General features: G+C 36.9%; 1 annotated feature.

Annotated features, from left to right (window-relative positions):
* Positions 79 to 588: an enhancer, noted in NCBI's record as "OCT4-NANOG hESC enhancer chrX:61822086-61822595 (GRCh37/hg19 assembly coordinates)". NCBI's record gives its function as "activates a minimal SCP1, AML or CMV promoter by ChIP-STARR-seq in primed H9 embryonic stem cells {active_cell/tissue: H9 hESC(primed)}" and the evidence as "EXISTENCE:reporter gene assay evidence [ECO:0000049][PMID:30033119]".

Raw genomic sequence — 24,411 nt, forward strand, 5'->3', positions numbered from 1 at the left:
TTCTATTGATAGATCAGTTTTGAAACACTCATTTTTAAAATCTGCAGGTGGACATTTAGAGCGCTTTGCTGCCTAAGGTGAAAAAGGAAATATCTTCACATAAAAACTAGACAGAAGCATTCTCAGAAACTTCGTTGTGTTCTGTGCATTGAACTCCGAGAGTTGAACCTTCCTTTTGATACAGCAGCTTTGAAACACGTGTTTTGTAGAATCGGCAAGAGGATGTTTGGATCGATTTGAGGCCTATAGTAGAAAAGGAAATATCTTCATATAAAAACTAGACAGAAGCATTCTCAGAAACTACTTTGTGATGATTGCATTCAACTCACAGAGTTGAAAATTCCTTTTGATAGAGCAGTTTTGAAACCCTCTTTTTGCAGAATCTGCATGTGGACATTTGGAGCGCTTTGATGCCTGTGGTGGAAAAGGAGATATCTTCATAAAAAACTAGACAGAAGCATTCTCAGAAACTACTTTGTGATGTTTGCATTCAACTCACAGAGTTGAACATTCCTTATGATAAAGCAGTTTTGAAACAGTCTTTTTGTAGAATCTGCAAGTGGATATTTGGAGCACTATGAGGCCTACGGTGGAAACAGGAATATCTTCACAAAAAAACTAGACAGAAGCCTTCTCAGAATCTTCTTTGTGAGGTGTGCATTCAACTCACAGAGTTGAACCTTCCTTTTGATAGAGCAGATTCGAAACACTCTTTTTGTGGAATCTGCAACTGGATATTTGGAGCACTTTGAGGCCTTCAGTGGAAACGGGAATATCTTCACATAAAAACTAGACAGAAGCATTCTCAGAAACTACTTTGTGATGTTTGCATTCAACTCACAGAGTTGAACATTCCTTATGATAAAGCAGTTTTGAAACAGTCTTTTTGTAGAATCTGCAAGTGGATATTTGGAGCACTATGAGGCCTACGGTGGAAACAGGAATATCTTCACAAAAAAACTAGACAGAAGCCTTCTCAGAATCTTCTTTGTGAGGTGTGCATTCAACTCACAGAGTTGAACCTTCCTTTTGATAGAGCAGATTCGAAACACTCTTTTTGTGGAATCTGCAACTGGATATTTGGAGCACTTTGAGGCCTTCAGTGGAAACGGGAATATCTTCACATAAAAACTAGACAGTAGCATTCTCAGAAACTTCTTTGTGTTCTGTGCATTGAACTCCGAGAGTTGAACCTTCCTTTTGATAGAGCAGTTTTGAAACACGTGTTTTGTAGAATCAGCAAGAGGATATTTGGATCGATTTGAGGCCTATAGTAGAAAAGGAAATATCTTCATTTAAAACTAGACAGAAGCATTCTCAGAAACTACTCTGTGATGATTGCATTCAGCTCACAGAGTTGAAAATTCGTTTTGATAGTGCAGTTTTGAAACCCTCTTTTTGCAGAATCTGCATGTGGACATTTGGAGCACTTTGATGCCTGTGGTGGAAAAGGAGAGATCTTCATAAAAAACTAGACAGAAGCATTCTCAGAAACTACTTTGTGATGTTTGCATTCAACTCACAGAGTTGAACATTCCTCTTGATAGAGCAGTTTTGAAACACTCTTTTTCTAGAATCTGCAAGTGGATATTTGGACGGCTTTGAGGCATTTGGTGGAAAGGGGAATATCTTCACAAAAAAACTAGACAGAAGCATTCTCAGAATCTTCTTTGTGAGGTGTGCATTCAACTCACAAAGTTGAACCTTCCTTTTGATAGAGCAGTTTTGAAACATTCTTTTTGTGGAATCTGCAACTGGATATTTGGAGCGCTTTGAGGCCTTCAGTGGAAAAGGGAATATCTTCACATAAAAACTAGACAGTAGCATTCTCAGAAACTTCTTTGTGATTTCTGTATTCAACTCAGATTTGAACTTTTTTTTGATAGAGCAGTTTTGAAACACTCTTTTTGTAGAATCTGCAAGTGGATATTTTGACCGCTTTGAGGCCTATGGTAGAAAAGGCAATATATTCATATAAAACCTAGACAGCAGCATTTTCAGAAACTTCTTTGTGATGTCTGCATTCAACTCACGGAGTAGAACCTTTCTTTTGATAGAGCAGTTTTGAAACTCTCTATTTGTAAAATCTGCAAGTGGATATTTGGAGCGTTTGAGGCTTTCGGTGGAAACAGGAATATCCTCTCATAAAAACTTGACAGAAAAATTCTCAGAAACTGCTTTGTGATGTGTGCATTCAACTCAGAGGGTTGAACCTTCCTTCTTATAGAACAGTTTTGAAACACTCTTTTTGTAGCATCTGCAAGTGGATGTTTGGACCTCTTTGAGGCCTTCAGTGGAAACCAAAATATCTTCACATAAAAAGTAGACAGAAGCATTCTCAGACACTACTTTGTGATGCCTGCATTCAACTCACAGAGTTGAACCTTCCATTTGGTATAGCAGTTTTGAAACACTCTTCTTTTAGAATTTGAAAGTGGATAGTTGGAGCGCTTTGAGGCCTTCTGTGGAAGCTGAAATATCTTCACATGAAAACTATACAGAAGCATTCTCAGAAACTGCTTTGTGATGGGTTCATTGAACTCACAGAGTTGAAACTTGCTTTTGATAGAGCAGTTTTGAAACATTCTTTTTGTAGAATCTGCAAGTGGACTATTGGAGCGCTTTGAGGCCTGTGGTGTAAAATGAGATATCTTCATATAAAAACTAGACAGAAGCATTCTCAGAAACTATTTTGTGATGTTTGCATTCAACTCACAGTGTTGAACGTTTCTTTTCATAGAGCTGTTTTGAAAGACACTTTTTGTAGAGTCTGCAAGTCTATATTTGGAGTGCTTTGAGGCCTACAGTGGAAACGAGAATGTCTTCACATAAAAACTAGACAGAAGCATTCTCCGAAACCTCTATGTGATGTATGCATTCACCTCACTGAGTTGAACCTTTCTTTTGATAGAGTAGTTTTGAAACGCTCTTTTTGTAGAATCTGCAAGTGGATATTTAGAGTGCTTTGATGCCTATGGTAGAAAAGGACATATCTTCATATAAAACTAGACAGAAGCATTCTCAGAAACTTCTTTGTGATGTTTGCATTCAACTCACAGAGTTGAACATTCCTTTTGATAGAGCAGTTTTGAAACACTCTTTTTGTAGAGTCTGCAAGGGGATATTTGGGCCGTTTAGAGGCCTTCGGTGGAATCGGGAATATCTTCACATAAAAACCAGACAGAAGCATTCTCAGAAACTTCTTTATGATGTGTGTATTCAACTGAAAGAGTTGGACCTTTCTTTTATTACAGAGGTTGAAACAGTCTTTTTGTAGAATCTGTAAGTGGACATTTGGAGCGCTTTGATGCCTGGGGTGGAAAAGAAGATATCTTCATATAAAAACTAGACAGAAACATTCTCAGAAACTACTTTGTGATGTTTGCATCCAACTCACAGAGTTGAAACTTCCTTTGATAGAGCCGGTTTGAAAGACTCTTTCTGTAGAATCTGCAAGCCTATATTTTGAGCACTTTGAGGCCTACGGTGGAAACGGTAATATCTTCACATAAAAACTAGACAGAAAAATTCTCAGAATCTTCTTTGGGATGTGTGCATTCAACTCAGAGAATTGAACCTTCCTTTTAATAGAGCAGTTTTGAAACACTGTTTTTGTAGAATCTAGAAGTGGATATTTGGAGCGCTTTGAGGCCTATGGTAGAAAAGAAATATCTTCATATAAAAACTAGACAGAAGCATTCACAGAAACCACTTTGTGATGTTTGCATTCAACTCACAGAGTTGTACCTTCCTTTTGATAGAGCAGTTTTGAAACACTCTTTTTGTAGAATCTGAAAGTGGACATTTGGACCACTTTGAGGCCTTTGGTGGAAACGGGAATATCTTCACATAAAAACTGGACAGAAGCATTCTCAGAAACTCCTTTGTGATGTGTGCATTCAACTCACAGAGTTGAACCTTCCTTTTGATAGAGCAGTTTTGAAACCCTCTTTTGGTAGAATCTGCAAGTGTACATTTGGAGCGCTTTGAGACCTGTGCTGGAAAAGGAAATATCTTCACATAAAAACTAGACACAAGGATTCTCAGAAACTTCTTTGGGATGTGTGCATTCAACTCACATAAGTGAACCTTCCTTTTGATAGAGCAGTTTTGAAACACTCTTTTTGTGGAATCTGCAAGTCGACATTTGGAGCGCTTTGATGCCTGTGGTGAAAAAGAAGATATCTTCATATAAAAACTAGACAGAAGCATTCTCAGAAACTACTTTGTGATATTTGCATTGAACTCACAGAGCTGAACATTTCTTTTGATAGAGCAGTTTTGAAACACTCTTTTTGTGGTATCTGCAAGTGGATATTTGGAGTGCTTTGAAGTCTTCGGTGGAAAAGGGAATATCTTCACAAAAAAACTAGACAGAATCATTTTCAGAAACTTCTTTGTGATGGGTGCATTCAACTCACAGAGTTGAACCTTTCTTTTGATAGAGCAGTTTTGAAACACTCTTTTTGTATAATCTGCAAGTGGACATTTTGAGAGCTTTGATGCCTATGTTGAAAAAGGAAATATTTTCACACAAAAACTAGAAAGAAACATTCTCAGAAAGTGCTTTGTGATGTGTGTGTTCAATTCACAGAGTTGAACATTCCTTTTGATAGAGCAGTTTTGAAAGACTCTTTTTGTAGAATCTGCCAGAGGATATTTGGAGCACTGGGAGGCCTTCGGTGGAAACGGGAATACCTTCACATACAAATTAGAGAGAAGCATTCTCAGAAACACCTTTGTGATGTGTACATTCAACTCACAAAGTTGAACCTTTCTTTTGATATAGCAGTTTTCAAACAATCTTTTTGTAGAATCTGTAACTGGATATTTGGAGCGCTTTGAGGCCTTCAGTGGAGATGGGATTATATTCACATAAAAACTAGAAAGAAGCATTCTCAGAAACTTCTTTGTGATATGTGCATTCACCTCACCGATTTGAACCTTTCTTTAGAAGGAGCAGATTTGAAACACTCTTTTTGAAGAATCTGCAACTGGATATTTGGAGAGCTTTGAGGACTATCTGGGAAAGGAAATCTCTTCATATAAAAACTAGATAGAAGCATTCTCAGAAACTACTTTGTGATGTGTGCATTCAACTCACTGAGGTGATCCTTTCTTTCGATAGAGCAGTTTTGAAACACTCATTTGTAGAAACTGCAAGTGGACATTTAGAGGGCTTTGCTCCCTATGGTGAAAAAGGAAATATATACACATAAAAACTAGACAGAAGCATTCTCAGAAACTTCTTTGTGATGTTTGCATTCAACTCACAGAGTTGAACATCCCTTTTGATAGAGCAGTTTTGAAACACTCTTTTTGAAGGATCTGCAAGTGGATATTTGGTTCCCTTTGAGGCCTATGCTTGAAAAAGAAATATCTTCATATGAAAACTAGACAGAAGCATTCTCAGTAACTGCTTTGTGATTTGTGCATTCAAGTCACAGTGTTGAACCTTTGTTTTGATAGAGCAGTTTTGAAACACGCTTTTTGCAGGATCTGCAAGTAGATATTTCGTTCTATTGGAGGTCTATGTCAGAAAACGAAATATCTTCACATAAATACTAGACAGAAGCATTCACAGAATCTTCTTTGTGATGTGTGCATTCAACTCACCGAGTTGAACCTTTCTTTTGGTAGAGCAGTTTTGAAATACTCTTTGTAGAATCTACAAGTGGATATTTGTTCCACTTTGAGGCCCACGTTGGAAAAGGAAATATCTTCACGTAAAAACTAGACAGAAGCATTGTCAGAAGCTGATTTGTGATGTGTGCATTCAACTCACAGAGTTGTACCTTTCTTTTGATAGAGCAGTTTTGAAACACTCTTTTTGTAGAATCTGCAGGTGGATATTTGTAGTGCTTAGAGGCCTATGGTGGAGAAGGAAATATCTTCACATAAAAACAAGGCAGAAGCATTCTCAGAAACTTCTTTGTGATGTGTGCATTCAACACACAGAGTTGAACATTTCTTTTGATAGAGCAGTCTTGATACACTCTTTTTTTAGAATCTGCAAGTGAATATTTTGTTCCCTTTGAGGACTATGATGGGAAACGAAATATCTACATATAAAAACAGACAGAAGAATTCTCAGAAACTTCTTTGTGATGTGTGCATTCCACCCTCAGATTTGAACTTTTCTTTTGATAGAGCAGTTTTGAAACAGTCTTTTTGTAGAATCTGCAAGTGGATATTTGGTGTGCTTTGAAGTCTATACTGGAAAATGAAATATTTTCACATAAAAACCAGACAGAAGCATTCTCTGAAACTTCTTTGTGATGTGTGCTTTCAACTCACAGAGTTGAACTTTTCTTTTGAAAGAGCAGAATTGAAACACTTTTTTTGTGGAATCTGCAAGGGGATATTTCTTTCCCGTTGAGGCCTATGTTGGAAAACGAAATATCTTCACATAAAAACTACACTGATGTATTCTCAGAAACTTCTTTGTGATGTGTGCATTCAACCCACAGAGTTGAACTTTTATTTTGATAGAGCAGTTTTGAAACAATCTTTTTGGAGAATCTGCAAGTGGATACTTCATTCCCTTTGAGGCTTATGGTGAAAAAGGAAATATCATCACAAAAAAGCTAGACACAAGCATTCTCAGAAACTTCTTTGTGGTGTGTGCATTCATCTCACAGAGTTGAACCATTCTTTTGATAGACGAGTTTTGAAACACTGTTTTTGTAGAATCTGCAAGCGGATATTTGGAGCGACTTGAGGCCTATGGTGGAAAAGGATGTATCTTCACATAAAAAGTACATAGAAGCATTCTCAGAAACTACTTTGTGATGTTTATATTCAATTCACAGTGTTGAATATTCCTTTTGATAGAGCAGTTTTGAAACACTCTTTTTATAGAATCTGCAAGTGCACATTTGGACAGCTTTGATGCCTTCGGTGGAAACGGGAGTATCTTCAAATACAAACTAGAGAGAAGAATTCTCACAAACTTCTTTGCAATGCGTGTATTCAACTCAGAGAGTTGAAACTTTCTTTTAATAGAGTAGTTTTGAAACACTGTTTTTGTAGAATCTGCAAGTGGACATTTGGAGCGCTTTGATGCCTGTGGTGGAAAGGAAGTTATCTTCATATAAAAACTAGACAGAAGCATTCTCTGAAACTACTTTGTGATGTGTGCATTCAACCCACAGAGTTGAACCTTCCTTTTGATAGAGCCTTTTGAAAGACTCTTTTTGAAGAATCTGCAAGTCTATATTTGGAGGACTTTGAGGCCTACTGTGGAAACGGATATATATTCACATAAAAACTAGACCGAAGCATTCTCAGAATCTTCTTTGTGATGTGTGCATCCAACTCAGAGAATTGAACTTTCCTTTAAATAGAGCAGTTTTGAAACATTGTTTTTGTAGAATCTGGAAGTGGACATTTGGAGCGCTTTGATGCCTGTGGTTGAAAAGGAGATATCTTCATATAAAAACTATACAGAAGCATTCTGAGAAACTACTTTGTGATATTAGCATTCAACTCACAGAGTTGAACATTCCTTTTGATAGAGCAGTTTTGAAACACTCTTTTTGGAGAATCTGCAAGTGGATATTTGGACCGATTTGAGGACTTCACTGTAAATGGGAATATCTTCACTTAAAAATTAGACAGAAGCATTCTCAGTAACCACTTTGTGATGTGTGCATCCAACTCACAGTGTTGAACCTTCCTTTTGATAGAGCAGTTTTGAAACACTCTTTTTGTAGAATCTGCAAGTGGATATTTGGAGTGCTTTGAGGCATTCGGTGGAAAAGGGAATATCTTCACATAAAAACTAGACAGATGCATTCTCAGAAACTTCTTTGTGATGTCTGTATTCATCTCCAGAGTTGAACCTTTCTTTTGATAGAGGAGTTTTGAAACACTCTTTTTGTAGAACCTGCAAGTGGATATTTGGAGTGCTTTGAGGCATTCGGTGGAAAAGGGATATCTTCACATAAAAACTAGACAGGTGCATTCTCAGAAACTTCTTTGTGATGTCTGCATTCATCTCCAGAGTTGAACCTTTCTTTTGATAGAGGAGTTTTGAAACACTTTTTTTGTAGAATCTGCAAGTGGACATCTGGAGCCCTTTGAGGCCTGTCGTGGAAAAGGAAATAACTTCATATAAAAACTGGACAAAAGCATTCTCAGAAACTACTTTGTGATGTCTGCATTCAACACACAGAGTTGAACATTCCTTTTGATAGAGCCGTTTTATAACGCTCTTTTTGTAGAATCTGCAAGTGGATATTTAGACCACTTTGAGGCCCTCGGTGGAAATGGGAATATATTCACATAAAAACTAGACAGAAGCATTCTCAGAAACTTCTTTGTGATGTGTACATTGAACTCAGAGAGTTGAACCTTCCTTTTGATAGATCAGTTTTGAAACACTTTTTGGTAGAATCTGCAAGTGGATATTTGGAGAGCTTTGAGGCCTACTATGGTAAATAAGGAAATATCTTCATATAAAAACTAGACCGAAGCATTCTCAGAAACTTCTCTGTGATGCCTGCATTCAATTCACAGAGTTGAACCTTTCTTTTGATAGAGGAGTACTGAAACACTCTTTTTGTGGAACCTGTAAGTGGACATTTAGAGCACTTTGATGCCTATGGTGAAAAAGAAAATATGTTCACATAAAAACTAGACAGAAGCATTCACAGAAACTTCTTCATGATGTTTGCATTCAACTCACAGGGTTGAATATTCCTTTTGATAGAGCAGTTTGGAAACACTCTTTTTGTAGAATCTGCAAGTGGATATTTGGAGCGCTTTGAGGCCTTCGGTGGAAACGGGAATATCCACACATAAAAACTAGACAGAAGCACTCTCACAACCTACTTTGTAATGTGTGCATTCAACTCACAGAGTTGAACTTTTTTTTTGATAGAGTAGTTTTGAAACACTTTTTTTGTAGAATCTGCAAGTGGTTATTTGGAGCGCTATGAGGCCTACTGTGGAAACCGGAATATCTTCACATAAAAACTAGACAGAAGCATTCTCAGAAACTTCTTTGTGTTGTGTGCATTGAACTAAGAGAGTTGAACCTTCCATTTCATAGAGCAGTTTTGAAACACTCTTTTTGTAGAATCTGAAGTTGGGTATTTGTAGCTTTTTGAGACCCTTCCTGTAAAAGGAAATATCTTCACATAAAAACTAGACAGAAGCATTCTCCGAAACTTCTTTGTGATGTGTACATTCAACTCACAGTGTTGAATATTTCTTTTGATAGAGCAGTTTTCAAACACTCTTTTTTTAGAAACTGCAAGTGGATATTTGGAGGGCTTTGAGGCCTGTGGGGTAAAAGGAAATATCTTCACATGAAAACTAGATGCAAGCATTCCCAGAAACTTCTTTGTGATGTGTGCATTGAACTCACAGAGTCGACCCCTTCTTTTGATAGAGCAGTTGTGAAACACTTTTTTTGTAGAATCTGCAAGTGGATATTTTGTTCCCTTTGAGGCCTATGGCGGAAAACGAAATATCTTCAGATAAAAACTAAACAGAAGAATTCTAAGAAACTTCTTTGTGATGTGCTCATGAAACTCACAAAGTTGAACATTTCTTTTGATAGAGCAGTTTTGTAATGCACTTTTCGTAGAATCTGCAAGTGGATATTTGGAGCACACTGTGGCCGATGGCGGAAAAGGAAATATCTTCACATAAAAACTAGACACAAGCATTCTCCAAAACTGTTTTGTGATGTGTGCATTCAACTCACAGAGCTGAACCTTTCGTTTGATAGAGCAGTTTGAAACACCTTTTTGTAGAATCTGCAAGGGGATATTTGGTTCCCTTTGAGGCCTATGCTTGAAAAAGAAATATCTTCATATAAAAACTAGACAGAAATATTCTCAGTAACTGCTTTGTGATGTGTGAATTCAACTCACAGTGTTGAACCTTTGTTTTGATAGAGCCGTTTTGAAACACCCTTTTTGTAGGATCTACAAGTAGATATTTGGTTCCATTGGAGGTCTATGTTGGAAAACGAAATATCTTCACATAAAAACTAGACAGAAGCATTCACCGAAACTTCTTTGTGATGTGTGCATTCAACTCACCGAGTTGAACCTTTCTTTTGGTAGAGCAGTTTTGAAATACTCTTTGTAGAATCTGCAAGTGGATATATTTTCCCCTTTGAGGCCCACATTGGAAAAGGAAATATCTTCACATAAAAACTAGACAGAAGCATTGTCAGAGCTGATTTGTGATGTGTGCATTCAACTCACAGAGTTGAACCTTTCTTTTGATAGAGCAGTTTTGAAACACTCTTTTTGTAGAATCTGCAGGTGGATATTTGGAGCGCTTGGAGGCCTAAGGTGGAGAAGGAAATATCTTCACATAAAAACTAGGCAGAAGCATTCTCAGAAACTTCTTTGTGATGTGTGCATTCAACACACAGAGTTGAACATTTCTTTTGATAGAGCAGTCTTGATACACTCTTTTTTTAGAATCTGCAAGTGGATATTTTGTTCCCTTTGAGGGCTATGATGGGAAACGAAATATCTACATATAAAATTAGACAGAAGAATTCTCAGAAACTTCTTTGTGATGTGGGCATTGAACTCAGAGACTTGAATCTTTCTTTTGATAGAGCAGTTTTGAAACACTCTTTCTGTAGAATCTGCAAATGGATATCTGGAATGCTCTGAGGCATATGGTGGAAAAGGAAATATCTTCACATAAAAAATAGACAAAAGGATTCTCCGAAACTTCTTTGTGCTGTGTGCATTTAGGTCACAGAGTTGAACATTTCTTTTGATAGAGCAGTATTGAAACACTCCTTTTGTATAATCTGCAAGTGGATATTTTGTTCCCTTTGAGGACTATGTTGGAAAATGTAATATCTTCACATAAAAACTAGACAGAAGCATTCCCCGAAACTTCTTTGAAATCTGTGCATTCAACTCACAGAGTTGAAACTTTCTTTTGATAGAGCACTTTTGAAACACTCTTTTTGTAGAATCTGCAAGGGGATATTTTGTTCCCTTGGAGACCTGTGTTGGAAAACGAAATAACTTCACATAAAAACCAGACAGAAGCATTCTCAGAAACTTCTTTGTGATGGGTGCATTAAACTCACAGAGTTGGGCCTTTCTTTTTATAGGGCAGTTTTGAAGCACTCTTTTTGTAGAATCTGCAAGGGGATATTTGGTTCCATTTGAGGCCTATGGTGGAGAAGGAAATATCTTCACATACAAACTAGACAGAAGAATTCTCTGAAACTTCTTTGTGCTGTGTGTATTCAACTGATGGAGTTGAACCTTTCTTTTGATAGAGCAGTTTTGAAACACTCTTTCTGCAGTATCTACAACTGGGTATTTTGTTCCCTTTGAGGCCTACGATGGAAAATGAAATATCTTCATATAAAACTAGACAGAAGCATTCTCGGAAACTGCTTTGTGATTTGTACATTCAACTCAGAGATCTGAACCATTCCTTTGATAGAGCAGTTTTGAAACACTATTTTTGTAGAAATTGCAAGGGGATATTTTGTTCCCTTTGAGGCCTATGTTGGAAAACAAAATATCTTCACATAAAAACTAGACAGAAGCATTCTCAGAAACTTCTTTGTGCTGAGTGCATTCAACTCACAGAGTTGAACTTTTCTTTTGATAGAGCAGTTTTGAAACCCTCTTTCTGTAGAATCTGCAAGTGGATATTTGGAATGCTTTGAGGCCTATGGTGGAAAAGGAAATATCTTCACATAAAAACTAGACAGAAGCATTCTCCAAAACTTCTTTGTGATGTGTGCATTCAACTCACAGAGTTGAACCTTTCTTTTTGTAGAGCAGTTTTGAAACACTCTTTTTGAAGAATCTGCAAGGGGATATTTTGTTCCATATGAGGCCTATGTTGGAAAACGAAATATCTTCAAATAAAAACTAGTCAGAAGCATTCTCAGAAACTTCTTACTGATGTGTGCATTCAACTCACAGAGTTAAACCTTTCTTTTGATAGAGCAGTTTTGGAACACTCTTTCGTAGAATCTGCAAGTGGATATTTGGAACTCTTTGAGGCCTCTTGTCTAAAAGGAAATATCTTCATAAAAAAACTAGACAGAAGCATTCTCTGAAATTTATTTGTGATGTATAAACTCAACTCACAGTGCTGAAGCCTTCTTTTGATAAAGCAGCTTTGAAACACTCTTTTTGTAGAATCTGCAAGTGGATATTTGGAGCGCTTTGAGGCCTATGGTGGAAAAGGAAATATCTTCACATAAAAACTAGACAGAAGCATTCTCCGAAACTACTTTGTGCTGTGTGCATTCAACTCGCAGAGTTGAATCTCTCTATTGATCTAGCATTTTTGAAACACTCTTTTTGTAGTATCTGCAAGTGTATTTTTTTTTCTGTTTGAGGCCTATGGTGGAAAAGGAAATATCTTCACATAAAAACTAGACAGAAGCATTCTCCGAAACTTCTTTTTGCTGCATGCATTCAACTCGCAGAGTTGAATCTTTCTATTGATGGAGCAGTTTTGAAACACTCTTTTTGTAGTATCTGCAAGTGTATATTTTTTTCCTTTTGAAGCCTACGTTGGAAAACGAAATATCTTGAAATAAAACTAGACAATAGCCTTCTCAGCAACTGCTTTCCGATGTGTGCATTTAACTCAGAGAGTTGAACATTTCGTTTGATAGAGCAGTTTTGAACCACTCTTTTCGCAGTATAAGCAGGTGAATATTTGGAACGCTTTGAGCCTTATGGTGGAAAAGGAAATATCTTCACATTAAAACTAGAGAGAAGAAGTCTCAGAAACTTCTTTGTGATGTGTGCACTCAACTCAATGTTTTGAACCTTTCCTTTGTTAGAGTACTTGTGAAACACTCTTTTTGCAGAATCTGCAAGTGGATATTTGGAGTGCTTTTAAGACTATGTGGTAAAGGAAATATCTTCACATAAAAACTAGTCAGAAGCATTCTCCGAAACTTCTTTTTGATGTGAGCATTCAACTCACAGATTTGAACATTTCTTTTGATAGGGCAGTTTAGAAACACTCTTTTTGTAGAATCTACAAGAGGATATATGGTTCCCTTAGAGGACTCTGGTGAAAAAGGAAATATCTTCACATAAAAACTAAACACAAGCTTTCTCATATACTTCTTGGTGATGTGTGCATTGAACTCACAGTGTTGATCCTTTTTTTATAGAGAAGTTTTGAAACACTCTTTTTGAGGTATCTTCACGTGGATATTTGGAACGCTTTGAGCCCTACTGTGGAAAAGGAAACATCTTCACATAAAAACTGGAGAGAAGCATTCTCGGAAACTTCTTTGTGATGTGTGCATTCAACTCACAGAGTTGAAACTTTCTTTTGATAGAGCAGATTTGTAACACTCTTTTTGTAGAATCTGCAAGTGCATATTTGGAGCACTTTGAGGCCTATGGTGGAAAAGGAAAGATCTTCACATAAAAACTAGACAGAAGCACTCTCAGAAACTTCTTTGTCATGTGTGCATTCAACTCAGAGTTGAAACTTTCCTGTTATACAGCAGTTTTGTAACACTCTTTTTGTAGAATCTGCAAGTGCATAGTTGGAGCACTTTGAGGCCTATGGTGGAAAACGAAATAACTTCATATAAAAACTAGACAGAAGCATTCTTTCAAATTTCTTTGTGATGTGTGCATTCAACTCACAGAGTTGAACCTTTCTTTTGATAGAGCAGTTTTGAAACATTCCTTTTGTAGAATCTGCGAGTGGATATTTACAGTGCTTTAAGGCCTATAATGGAAAAAGAAACATCTTCATATAAAAACTAGAAGAAGCATTCTCAGAAAACACTTTGTGATGTGTGCATTCAACTCATAGTGTTGAACCTTTCTTTGGATAGAGCAGTTTTGAAACACTCTTTTTGTAGAATGTACAAGTGGATATTTTGTTCCCTCTGAGGCCTATGTTGGAAAACGAAATATCTTCCCATAAAAACTAGACAGAAGCATTCTCCGAAACTTCTTTGTGATGAGTGCATTCAACTCACAGAGTTGAACCTTTCTTGTGGTAGAGCAGTTTTGAAATACTCTTTTTGTAGAATCTGCAAGTGGATATTTGGAGCGCTTTAAGGCCCATGGTGGAAAAGGAAATATCTTCAAATAAAAACCAGGCAGAAACATTCTCAGAAACTTCTTTGTGATGTGTGCATTCAACTCACAGTGTTGGAACTTTCTTTTGATAGAGCAGTTTTGAGACACTCTTTTTGTAGGATCTGCATGTGGATATTTGGAGTGCATTGAGGCCTATGGTCGAAAAGGATATGTATTAGCATAAAAACTAGACAGAAGCATTCTCCGAAACTTATTGATGATGTGTGCATTCAACTCAATTAGTTGAACCTTTCTTTTGATAGAGCAGTTTGAGTCACTCTTATTGTAGAATCTGCAGGTGGATATTTAGTTCCCTTTGAGGCCTATGTTACAAAACGTAATATCTTCACATAAAAAATAGACAGAAGCATTCTCAGAAACTGCTTTGGGATGAGTGCGTTGAATTCAGAGAGTTGAACCTTTCTTTTGGTAGAGCAGTTTTGAAACACTCTGCTTGTAGAATCTGCAAGTGGATATTTGGAGAGCTTTGAGACCTATGCTGGAAAAGGACATATATCACATGAAAACTAGACAGAAGCGTTCTCCGAAAATTCTTTGTGCTGCGTGCATTCAACTCACAGTGTTGAAACTTTCTTTTGATAGAGCAGGTTTGAAAGTCTCTTTTTGTAGAATTTGCAATGGATATTTTGTTCCCTTTGAGGCCTATGTTGGAAAACGAAATAACTTCCCTCAAAAACTAGACAGAAGCATTCTCCAAAACTTCTTTGTGATGTTTGCATTCAACTCACAAATTTGAAACTTTCTTTTGATAGAGCAGTTTTGAAACACTCTTTTTGTTGTATCTGCAAGGGGATATTTTGTTCCCTTTGGGGCCGATTTTGGAAAACGAAATATCTTCCCATAAAAACTAGAAAAAAGCATTCCGCGAAACTTCTTTGTGGTGTGTGCATTCAACTTACAGAGTTAGTACTTTCTTTTGATAGAGCAGTTTTGAAACAGTCTTTTTGTAGAATCTGCAAGGGGATATATCGTTTCCTTTGAGGCCTATAATGGAATACGAAATATCTTCACATAAAAAGTAGACAGAAGTGTTCTCAGAAACTTCTTTGAGATGTGTGCATTCAACTCACAGAGTTGAACTTTCCTTTTGATAGAGCAGTTTTGAAGCACTCTTTTTGTAGTATCTGCAAGTGGATTTTTGCAGCACTTTAAGGCCTATGGTGGAAAAGGAAATATCTTCACTATAAAACTGGACAGAAGCATTCTCCGAAACATTTTGTGATGTGCGAATTCAACTCAGAGTTGAACCTTTCCTGTTATACAGTACTTTGGAACATTCTTTTTGTAGAATCTGCGAGTGGATATTTGCAGTGCTTTAAGGCCTATTGTGGAAGATGAAATATCTTCACATAAAAACTAGACAGAAGCATTCTCAGAAAATTCTTTGTGATGTGTACATTCACCTCACAGTGTTGAACCTTTCTTTTGATAGAGCAGTTTTGAAACACTCTTTTGTAGAATCTGCAAGTGGATATTTGGAGCGCTTTGAGGCCTATGGTGGAAAAGGAAATATCTTCACATAAAAACTAGACAGAAGCATTCTCCAAAACTTCTTTGTGATGTGTGCATTCAACTCACACAGTTGAACCTTTCTTTTGATGGAGGAGTTTTGAAATGCTCTTTTTGTAGAATCTGCAAGTGGATATTTGGAACGCTTTGAGACCAGTATTGGAAAACGAAATGTCTTCACATAAAAACTAGACAGAAGCATTCTCCGAAACTGCTTTGTGATTTGCGCATTCACCTCACAGACTTGAACCTTTCCTTTGATAGAGCAGTTTTGAAACAGTCTTTTTGCAGAATCTGCAAGTGGTATTTGGATCGGTTTGAGGCCTATGGTGGAAAAGGAAATATCTTCACATAAAAACTAGACAGAAGTATTCTCCAACACACCTTTGTGATGTGCGCATTCAACTCACACAGTTGAATTTTTCTTTTGATAGAGCAGTTTTGAAACAGTCTTTTTGAAGAATCTGCAAGTGGATATTTGGTTCCCTTTGAGGCTAATGTTGGAAAACGAAATATCTTCACATAAAAACTAGCAGAAACATTCTCATAAACTGCTTTGTGATGTGCACATTCAACTCACAGAGATGCACATTTCTTTTGATAGAGCACTTTTGAATCACTCTTTTGGTAGAATCTGCAAGTGGATATTTGGAGCGCTTTGAGGCCTATATTGGAAAACGAAATGTATTCCCATAAAAACTAGACAGAAGCATTCTCACAAACTGCTTTGTTATTTGTGCATTCAACTCACAGATTTGAAAATTTCTTTTGATAGAGCAGTTTTCAAACACCCTTTTTGTAGAATCTACAAGTGGATATTTTGTTCCCTTTGAGGCCTATTTTGGAAAACGAAATATCTTAACATAAAAACTAGACAAAAGCATTCCCTGATACTTTTTTTGCTGTTTGCATTCAACTTACAGAGTTAGAACGTTCTTTTGATAGAGCAGTTTTGAAACACTCTTTTTGTAGTATCTGCAAGGGGATATTTGGTTTCCTTTGAGGCCTATGTTGGAATACGAAATATCTTCACATAAAAACTAGACAGAAGCATTCTCAGAAACTCCTTTGTCATGTGTGCAATCAACTCACAGAGTTGAACCTTAATTTTTTAGAGCAGTTTTGAAACACTCTTTTTGCAAAATCTGCAAGTGGATATTTGGAACGCTTTGAGGCCTATGGTGGAAAAGGAAATATCTTCACATAAAAACTAGACAGAAGCATTCTCCAAAACACGTTTGTGATTAGTGCATTCAACTCACACAGTTGAACCTTTCTTTTGATAGAGGATTTTTGAAACACTCTTTTTGTAGAACCTGCAAGTGGATATTTTGAGCACCTTGAGGCCAATGGTGGAAAAGGAAATATCTTCACATAGAAACTACACAGAAGCATTCTCAGAATCTTCCCTGGATGTATGCATTCTGCTCACAGAGTTGAACCACGCTTTTGATAGAGCAGTTTTTAAACACTCTTTTTGTATAATCTGCAAGTAGATATTTTGAGCACTTTGAGGTCTATGGTTTAAAAGGAAATATCTTCACATAAAAACTAGACAGAAGCATTCTCTGAAACTTCTTTCTGATGTGTTCTTTCAACTCACAGAGTTGAACCTTTCTGTTGATAGAGCAGTTTTGAAACACTCTTTTGTAAAATCTGCAAGTGGATATTTGGAGCGCTTTGAGGCCTGTGGTGGAAAAGGAAAATCTTCAAATAAAAACTAGATAAAAGCATTCTCGGAAACCTCTTTGTGATGTGTGCATTCAACTCACAGAGTTGAACTTTCCTTTTGATAGAGCAGTTATGAAACACTCTTTCTTTAGAATCTACAGGTGGATATTTTCTTTCCATTGAGGCCTATGTAGGAAAACGAAATATCTTCATATAAAAACTACACAGAAGCCTTCTCAGAAACTTCTTTGTGATGAGTGTATTCAACTCACAGAGTTGACCATTTCATTTGATAGAGCAGTTTTGAAACACACTTTTTGTAGAATCTGCAAGTGGATATTTGGAGTGCTTTGAGGCCTATGGTGGAAAAGGAAATATCTTCATATAAAAACCAGACAGAAGCATTCTCAAAAACTTATTTGTGATGTATGGATTGAACTCACAGAGTTGCACATTTCTTTTGATAGAGCAGTTTTGAAACACTCTTTTTGTAGAATCTGCAAGTGGATATTTGTAGCGCTTTGAGGCCTATGTAGGAAAATGAAATATCTTCATATTAAAACTAGACAGAAGCCTTCTCAGAAACTTCTTTGTGATGTGTGTATTCAACTCACAGAATTGAACGTTTCTTTTGTTAGAGCAGTTTTAAAACACACTTTTTGTTGAATCTGCAACTGGATACTTGGAGCGCTCTGAGGCTTATGGTGGAAAAAGAAATATCTTTACATAAAAACTAGACAGAAGCATTCTCAGAAACTTCTTCATGATGTGTGCTTTCAACTCACAGAGTTGAACATTTCTTTTTAGAGAGCAGTTTTGAAACATTCTTTTTGTAGAATCTGTAAGTGGATATTTGGATCGCTTTGAGACCTATGGTGGAAAACGAAATATCTTCCCATAAAAACTAGACAAAAGCGTTCCCCGAAACTTCTTTGTAATGTGTGTGTTCAACTTGCAGAGTTAGAAAGCTCTTTTGATAAAGCAGTTTTGAAACACTCTTTTTGTAGGATCTGCCAGGGAATATTTGGTTTTCTTTGAGGCCAATGTTGGAATACGAAATATCTTCACTTAAAAACTAGACAGAAGCATTCTCAGATACTCCTTTGTCATGTGTGCATTCAACTCACAGAGTTGAACCTTTCTTTTTTTAGAGCCGTTTTGAAACACTGCTTTTGTAGAATCTGCAAGTGGATATTTGGAGCACTTTGTGGCCTATATTGGAAAACCAAATGTCTTCACATAAAAACTAGACAGAAACATTCTCAGAAACTGCATTGTGATTTGTGCATTTAACTCACAGAGCTGAACCTTTCTTTTGATAGAGCAGTTTTGAAAACTCTTTTTGTAGAATCTGTTACTGGATATTTGGATTGCCTTGAGGCCTATGGTGTAAAAGAAAATATCTTCACATAAAAACTAGACAGAAGCGTTCTCCGAAACTTCTTTGTGATGTGTGCATTGAACTCACAGAGTTGAGCCTTTCTTTTGATAGAGCAGTTTTGAAACACTCTTTTTATAGAATCTACAAGTGGATATTTGGAGCGTCTTGAGGCCTCTGGTGGAAAAGGAAATATCTTCTCATAAAAACTATACAGAAGCATTCTCAGAAACTTCCTTGGATGTGTGCATTCTGCTCACAGAGTTGAACCATGCTTTTGGTAGAGCAGTTTTGAAACACTCTTTTTGTAGAATCTGCAAGTGGTATTTGGAGAGCTTTGAGGCCTATGGTGGAAAAGGAAATATCTTCACATAAAAACTAGAAAGTAGCATTCTCTGAAACTTCTTTGTGATTTGTGCATTCAACTCACAGAGTTGAACAGTTTTGTTAGAGCAGTTTTGATACACTCTTTTTGTAGAATTTGCAAGTGGATATTTGGTTCCCTTTGATGCCTTTTTTTTGGAAAATGAAATAGTTTACCATAAAATCTAGACAGAAGCAGTTTCAGAAACTTCTTTGTGATGTGTGCATTCAACGCACAGAGTTGAAACTTTCTTTTGTTAGAGCAGTTTTGAAACACTCTTTTTGTAGAATCTGTAAGTGGATATTTGGAGCACTTGGAGGCCTATGTTGGAAAACGAAGTATCTTCACATAAAAACTAGACAGAAACATTCTCTGAAACTTCTTTTTGATGTGTGCATACAACTCATAGAGTTGACCCTTTCTTTTGATAGAGCAGTTTTGAGACACTCTTCTTGTAGAATGTACAAGTGGATATTTGGTTCCCTTTGATGCCTATGTTGGAAAAAGAAATATCTTCACATAAAAACTAGACAGAGGCATTCACAGAATCTTCTTTGTGATGTGTGCATTCAACTCACAGGTTTGAACCTCTCTGTTGGTAGAGCAGTTTAGAAACACTCTTTTTGTAGAATGTGCAAGGGGATATTTTGTTCCCTTTGAGGCCTATGGTGAAAAAGGAAATATCTTCACATAAAAACTAGGCACAAGTATTCTCAGAAACCTCTGTGCTGTGTGCATTCAAGTCTCGGAGTTTAACGTTTCTTTTGATTGATAGAGCAGTTTTGAAACACTCTTTTTATAGAATATGCAAGGGGATATTTTGTTCCCTTTGAGGCCTACATTGGAAAACGAAATATCTTCACATAAAAACTACACAGAAGCATTCTCAGAAGCTTCTTTGTGATGTGTGTATTCAACTAACAGAGATGAACCTTTCTTTAGAGAGAGCAGTTTTGAAACATGCTTTTTTTTGAATCTGCAATTGGATATTTGGAGCGATTTAAGGCCAATGGTTTAAAGGGAAATATCTTCCCATAAAAACTAGACAGAAGCATTCTCCGAAACTTGACTATTATGTGTACATTCAACTCACAGAGTTGAACTTTTCTTTTGATAGAGCGGTTTTGAAACACACTTTTTGTAGAATCTGCAAGTGGATATTTCGTTCTCTTTGAGGCCTGTGTTTGAAAAACGAAATATCTTCACATAAAAACTAGACAAAAGCATTCTCCGAAAGTTCTTTGTGATGTGTGCATTCAACTCACATAATTGAAACTTTCTTTTGATACAGCAGTTTTCAAACACTCTTTTTATAGAATCTGCAAGTGGATATTTGGTTCCCTTTGAGGCTTATGTTATAAAATGTAATATCTTCACACAAAAATTAGACAGAAGCAATCTCTGAAACAGCTTGGTGATGTGTGCATTCAACTCACATAGTTGAAACTTTCTTTTGATAGAGGAGGTTTGGAACACTCTTTTTGTACAATGGGCAAGTGGATATTTTACTCACGTTGGGGCATATGGTGTTAAAGGAAATATCTTCACATAAAGAGTAGACAGACGCATTCTCCGAAACTTCTTTGTGATGTGTGCATTCAACTCACAGAGTTCAACCTTTCTTTTGATAGAGCAGTTTTGAAGCACTCTTTTTGTAGAATCTGCAACTGGACATTTGGAGCGCTTTGAGGCCTATGGTGTAAAAGGAAATATCTTCACAAAAAAACTAGACAGAAGCATTCTCTGAAACTTCTTTGTCATGTGCGCATTCAACTCACAGAGTTGAACCTTTCATTTGATAGAGCAGTTTTGAAACACTCTTCTTGTAGTATCTGCAAGTGGATATTTGTATCCCTTAGAGGCCTATGTTGGCAAACGAAATATCTTCTCTTAAAAAGTAGACAAAAGCATTCTGAGAAGCGTCTTTGTGATGTGTGCATTCAACTCACAGAGTTGAACCTTTCTTTTGATAGAGCAGTTTTGTAACATCATTTTGTAGGATCTGCAAGTGGATATTTGGAGCGCTTTGAGGCCTATGGTGGTAAAGGAAATATCTTCACATAAAAAGTAGACAGAAGCATTCTCAAAAACTTCCTTGTGATGTGTGCATTCAACTCACAGAGTTGAACCATTCTTTTCATAGAGCAGTTTTGAAACACTCCTTTTGTAGGATCTGCCAGAGGATATTTGGAGCGCTTTGAGGCCTATGGTGGAAAAGGAAATATCTTCACATAGAAAATAGACAGAAGCATTCTCACAAACTTCCTTGTGATGTGTGCATTCACCTCACAGAGTTGAACAATTCTTTTCATAGAGCAGCTTTGAAGCTCTCTTTTTGTAGAACCTGCAAGTGGACATTTCAGGCGCTTTAAGGCCTGTGGTGGAAAAGGAAATATCTTCTTCATATAAAAACTAGACGGAAGCATTCTCAGAAACTACTTTGTGATGTTTGTATTCCACTCACAGAGTTGAACATTCCTTTTGGTAGAGCAGTTTTGAAACACTCTTTTTGTAGACTCTGCAAGTGGCTATTTGGAGCGCTTTGAGGTCTTCGGTGGAAACGGGAATGTCTTCACATAAAAACTAGCAGAAGCATTCTCAGAAACTTCTTTGTGGTGTGTGCATTCAACTCACAGAGTTGAAAGTTTCTTTTGATAGAGCCGTTTTGAAACAATCTTTTTGTAGAATTTGAAAGTGAACTTTAGGAGGGTTTTGAAGCCTTTTGTGGAAAAGGAAATATCTTCATATAAAAACTAGACAGAAGCATTCTCAGAAACTACTTTGTGATGTTTGCATTCAACTCACAGAGTTGACCATTACTTTTTATAGAGCACTTTTGAAGCACTCCTTTTGTAGAATCTGCAAGTGGATATTTGGACAGCTTTGAGGCCTTCAGTGGAAACGGGAATATCTTCATACAAAAACTAGACAGAAGCATTCTCAGAAACTACATGGTAATGTTTGCATTCAAGTAACAGAGTTGAACCTTTCTTTTGTTAGAGCAGTTTTGAAACACTCTTTTTCTAAAATCTGCAAGTGTACATTTGGAGTGCTTTGATGCCTATGTTGAAAAAGAAAATGTCTTCACATAAAAACTGGACACCAGCATTCTCAGGAACTTCTTTGTGATGTGTCCATTGATCTCAGAGAGTTGAGCCTTCCTTTTGACAGAGCAGTTTTGAACCACTCTTTTTGTAGAATCTGCAACTGGATATTTGGAGCGGTTTGTGGCCTATGGTAGGAAAGGAAATATCTTCATATAAAAACTAGACAGAAGCATTCTCAGAAACTTCTTTGTTATGTGTGCAGTCATCTCACAGAGTTGAACCTTCCTTTTGATATAGCAGTTCTGAAAGACTCTTTTTGTAGAATCTGCAAGTGGATATTTGGAGCACTTTCAGGCCTTTGGTGCAAATGGGAATATATTCACATAAAAACTAGACAGAAGCATTCTCAGAAAGTTCTTTGTGATGTGTACATTCAACACACAATGTTGAACTTTCTTTTGATAGAGCAGTTTTGAAACACTCCTTTTGTAGAATCTGCAAGAGATCATTTGGAGCCCTTTGAGGCCTGTGGTGGAAAAGGAGATATCTTCACATAAAAGAAGACAGAAGCATTGTCAGAAACTTCTTTGTGATGTGTGCATTCAACTCATAGCGTTGAACTTTCTTTTGATAGAGCAGTTTTGAAACACTCTTTTTGTATAATCTGCAAGTGGACATTTGGAGCTCTTTGAGGCATGTGTTGGAAAAGGAGATATCTTCATATAAAAACTAGACAGAAGCATTCTCAGAAACTACTTTGTAATGTTTGCATTCAACTCACAGAGTTGAACATTCCTGTTGATAGAGCAGTTTTGAAACACTCTTTTTGTAGAATATGCAAGTGGATAATTGGAGCCCTTTTAGGCCTGCGGTGGAAACGGGACTATCTTCACATAAAAACTAGACAGAAGGATTCTCAGAAACCATTTTGTGATATGTGCATTGAAGTCAGAGAGTTGAACCTTCCTTTTGATAGAGCAGTTTTGAAACACTCCTTTTGTAGAATCTGCAACTCTATATTTGGAGAGCTTTGAGGCCTACTAAGGTAGAAAAGAAAATATGTTCATATAAAAACTAGACAGAAGCATTCTCAGAAACTTCTTTGTGATGCCTGCATTCAACTCACATAGTGGAACCTTCCTTTTGATATAGCAGTTTTGAAACACTCTTTTTGTAGAATCTGCAAGTGGATAATTGGACGGCTTTGAGGCCTTCAGTGGGAAAGGGAATATCTTCACATAAAAACTAGACAGAAGCATTCCCAGAAACTGCTTTGTGATATGGGCATTCAACTCATAGAATTGAAACTTTCTTTTGATAGAGCAGTTTTGAAGCATTCTTTTTGTTGAATCTGCAAGTGGACATTTGGAGCACTTTGAGGCCTGTGGTGGAAAAGGAGATATCTTCATATAAAAACTAGACAGAAGCATTCTCAGAAACTACCTTGTGATGTTTACATTCAACTCACAGAGTTGAACCTTCCTTTTCATATAAAAACTAGACAGAAGCATTCTCAGAAACTACTTTGTGATGTGTGCATTCAACTCACAGAGTTGAACCTTCCTTTTGATAGAGCCGTTTTGAAAGACTCTTTTTGTAGAATCTGCAAGTCTCTATTTGGAGCACTTTGAGGCCTACGGTGGAAACAGGGATATATTCATATAAAAACTAGACTGAAGCATTCTCAGAATCTTCGTTGTGATGTATGCATCCAACTCAGAGAATTGAACCTTCCTTTAAAAAGAGCAGTTTTGAAACACTGTTTTTTTATAATCTGGAAGTGGACATTTGGAGCCCTTTGATGCCTGTGTTGGAAAAGGAGATATCTTCATATAAAAGCTAGACAGAAGCATTCTGAGAAACTACTTGGTGATATTAGCATTCAACTCACAGAGTTGAACATTCCTTTTGATAGAGCAGTTTGGAAACACTCTTTTTGTAGAATCAGCAAGGGGATATTTGGAGCACTATGAGGCCTACAGTGGAAACTGGAATATCTTCCCATAAAAACTAGAAAGAAGCATTCTCAGAAACTTCTCTGTGTTGTGTGCATTGAACTCAGAGAGTTTAACCTTCCATTTCATAGAACAGTTTTGAAACACTCTTTTTGTATAATCTGCAACTGGATATTTGGAGTGCTTTGAGGCCTGCTGTGGTAGAAAATGAAATATCTTCATGTAAAAACTAGACAGAAGCATTCTCAGAAACTTCTTTCTGATGCCTGCATTCAACTCACAGAGTTGAACCTTTCTTTTGATAGAGCAGTTTTGAAACACTCTTTTGCATAGTCTACAAGTGAACATTTCATGCACTTTGATGCCTATGTTGAAAAGGGAAATATCT

Source organism: Homo sapiens, chromosome X, assembly GCF_000001405.40.
Source record: "Homo sapiens chromosome X, GRCh38.p14 Primary Assembly".
Lineage (NCBI taxonomy): Eukaryota > Metazoa > Chordata > Mammalia > Primates > Hominidae > Homo > Homo sapiens.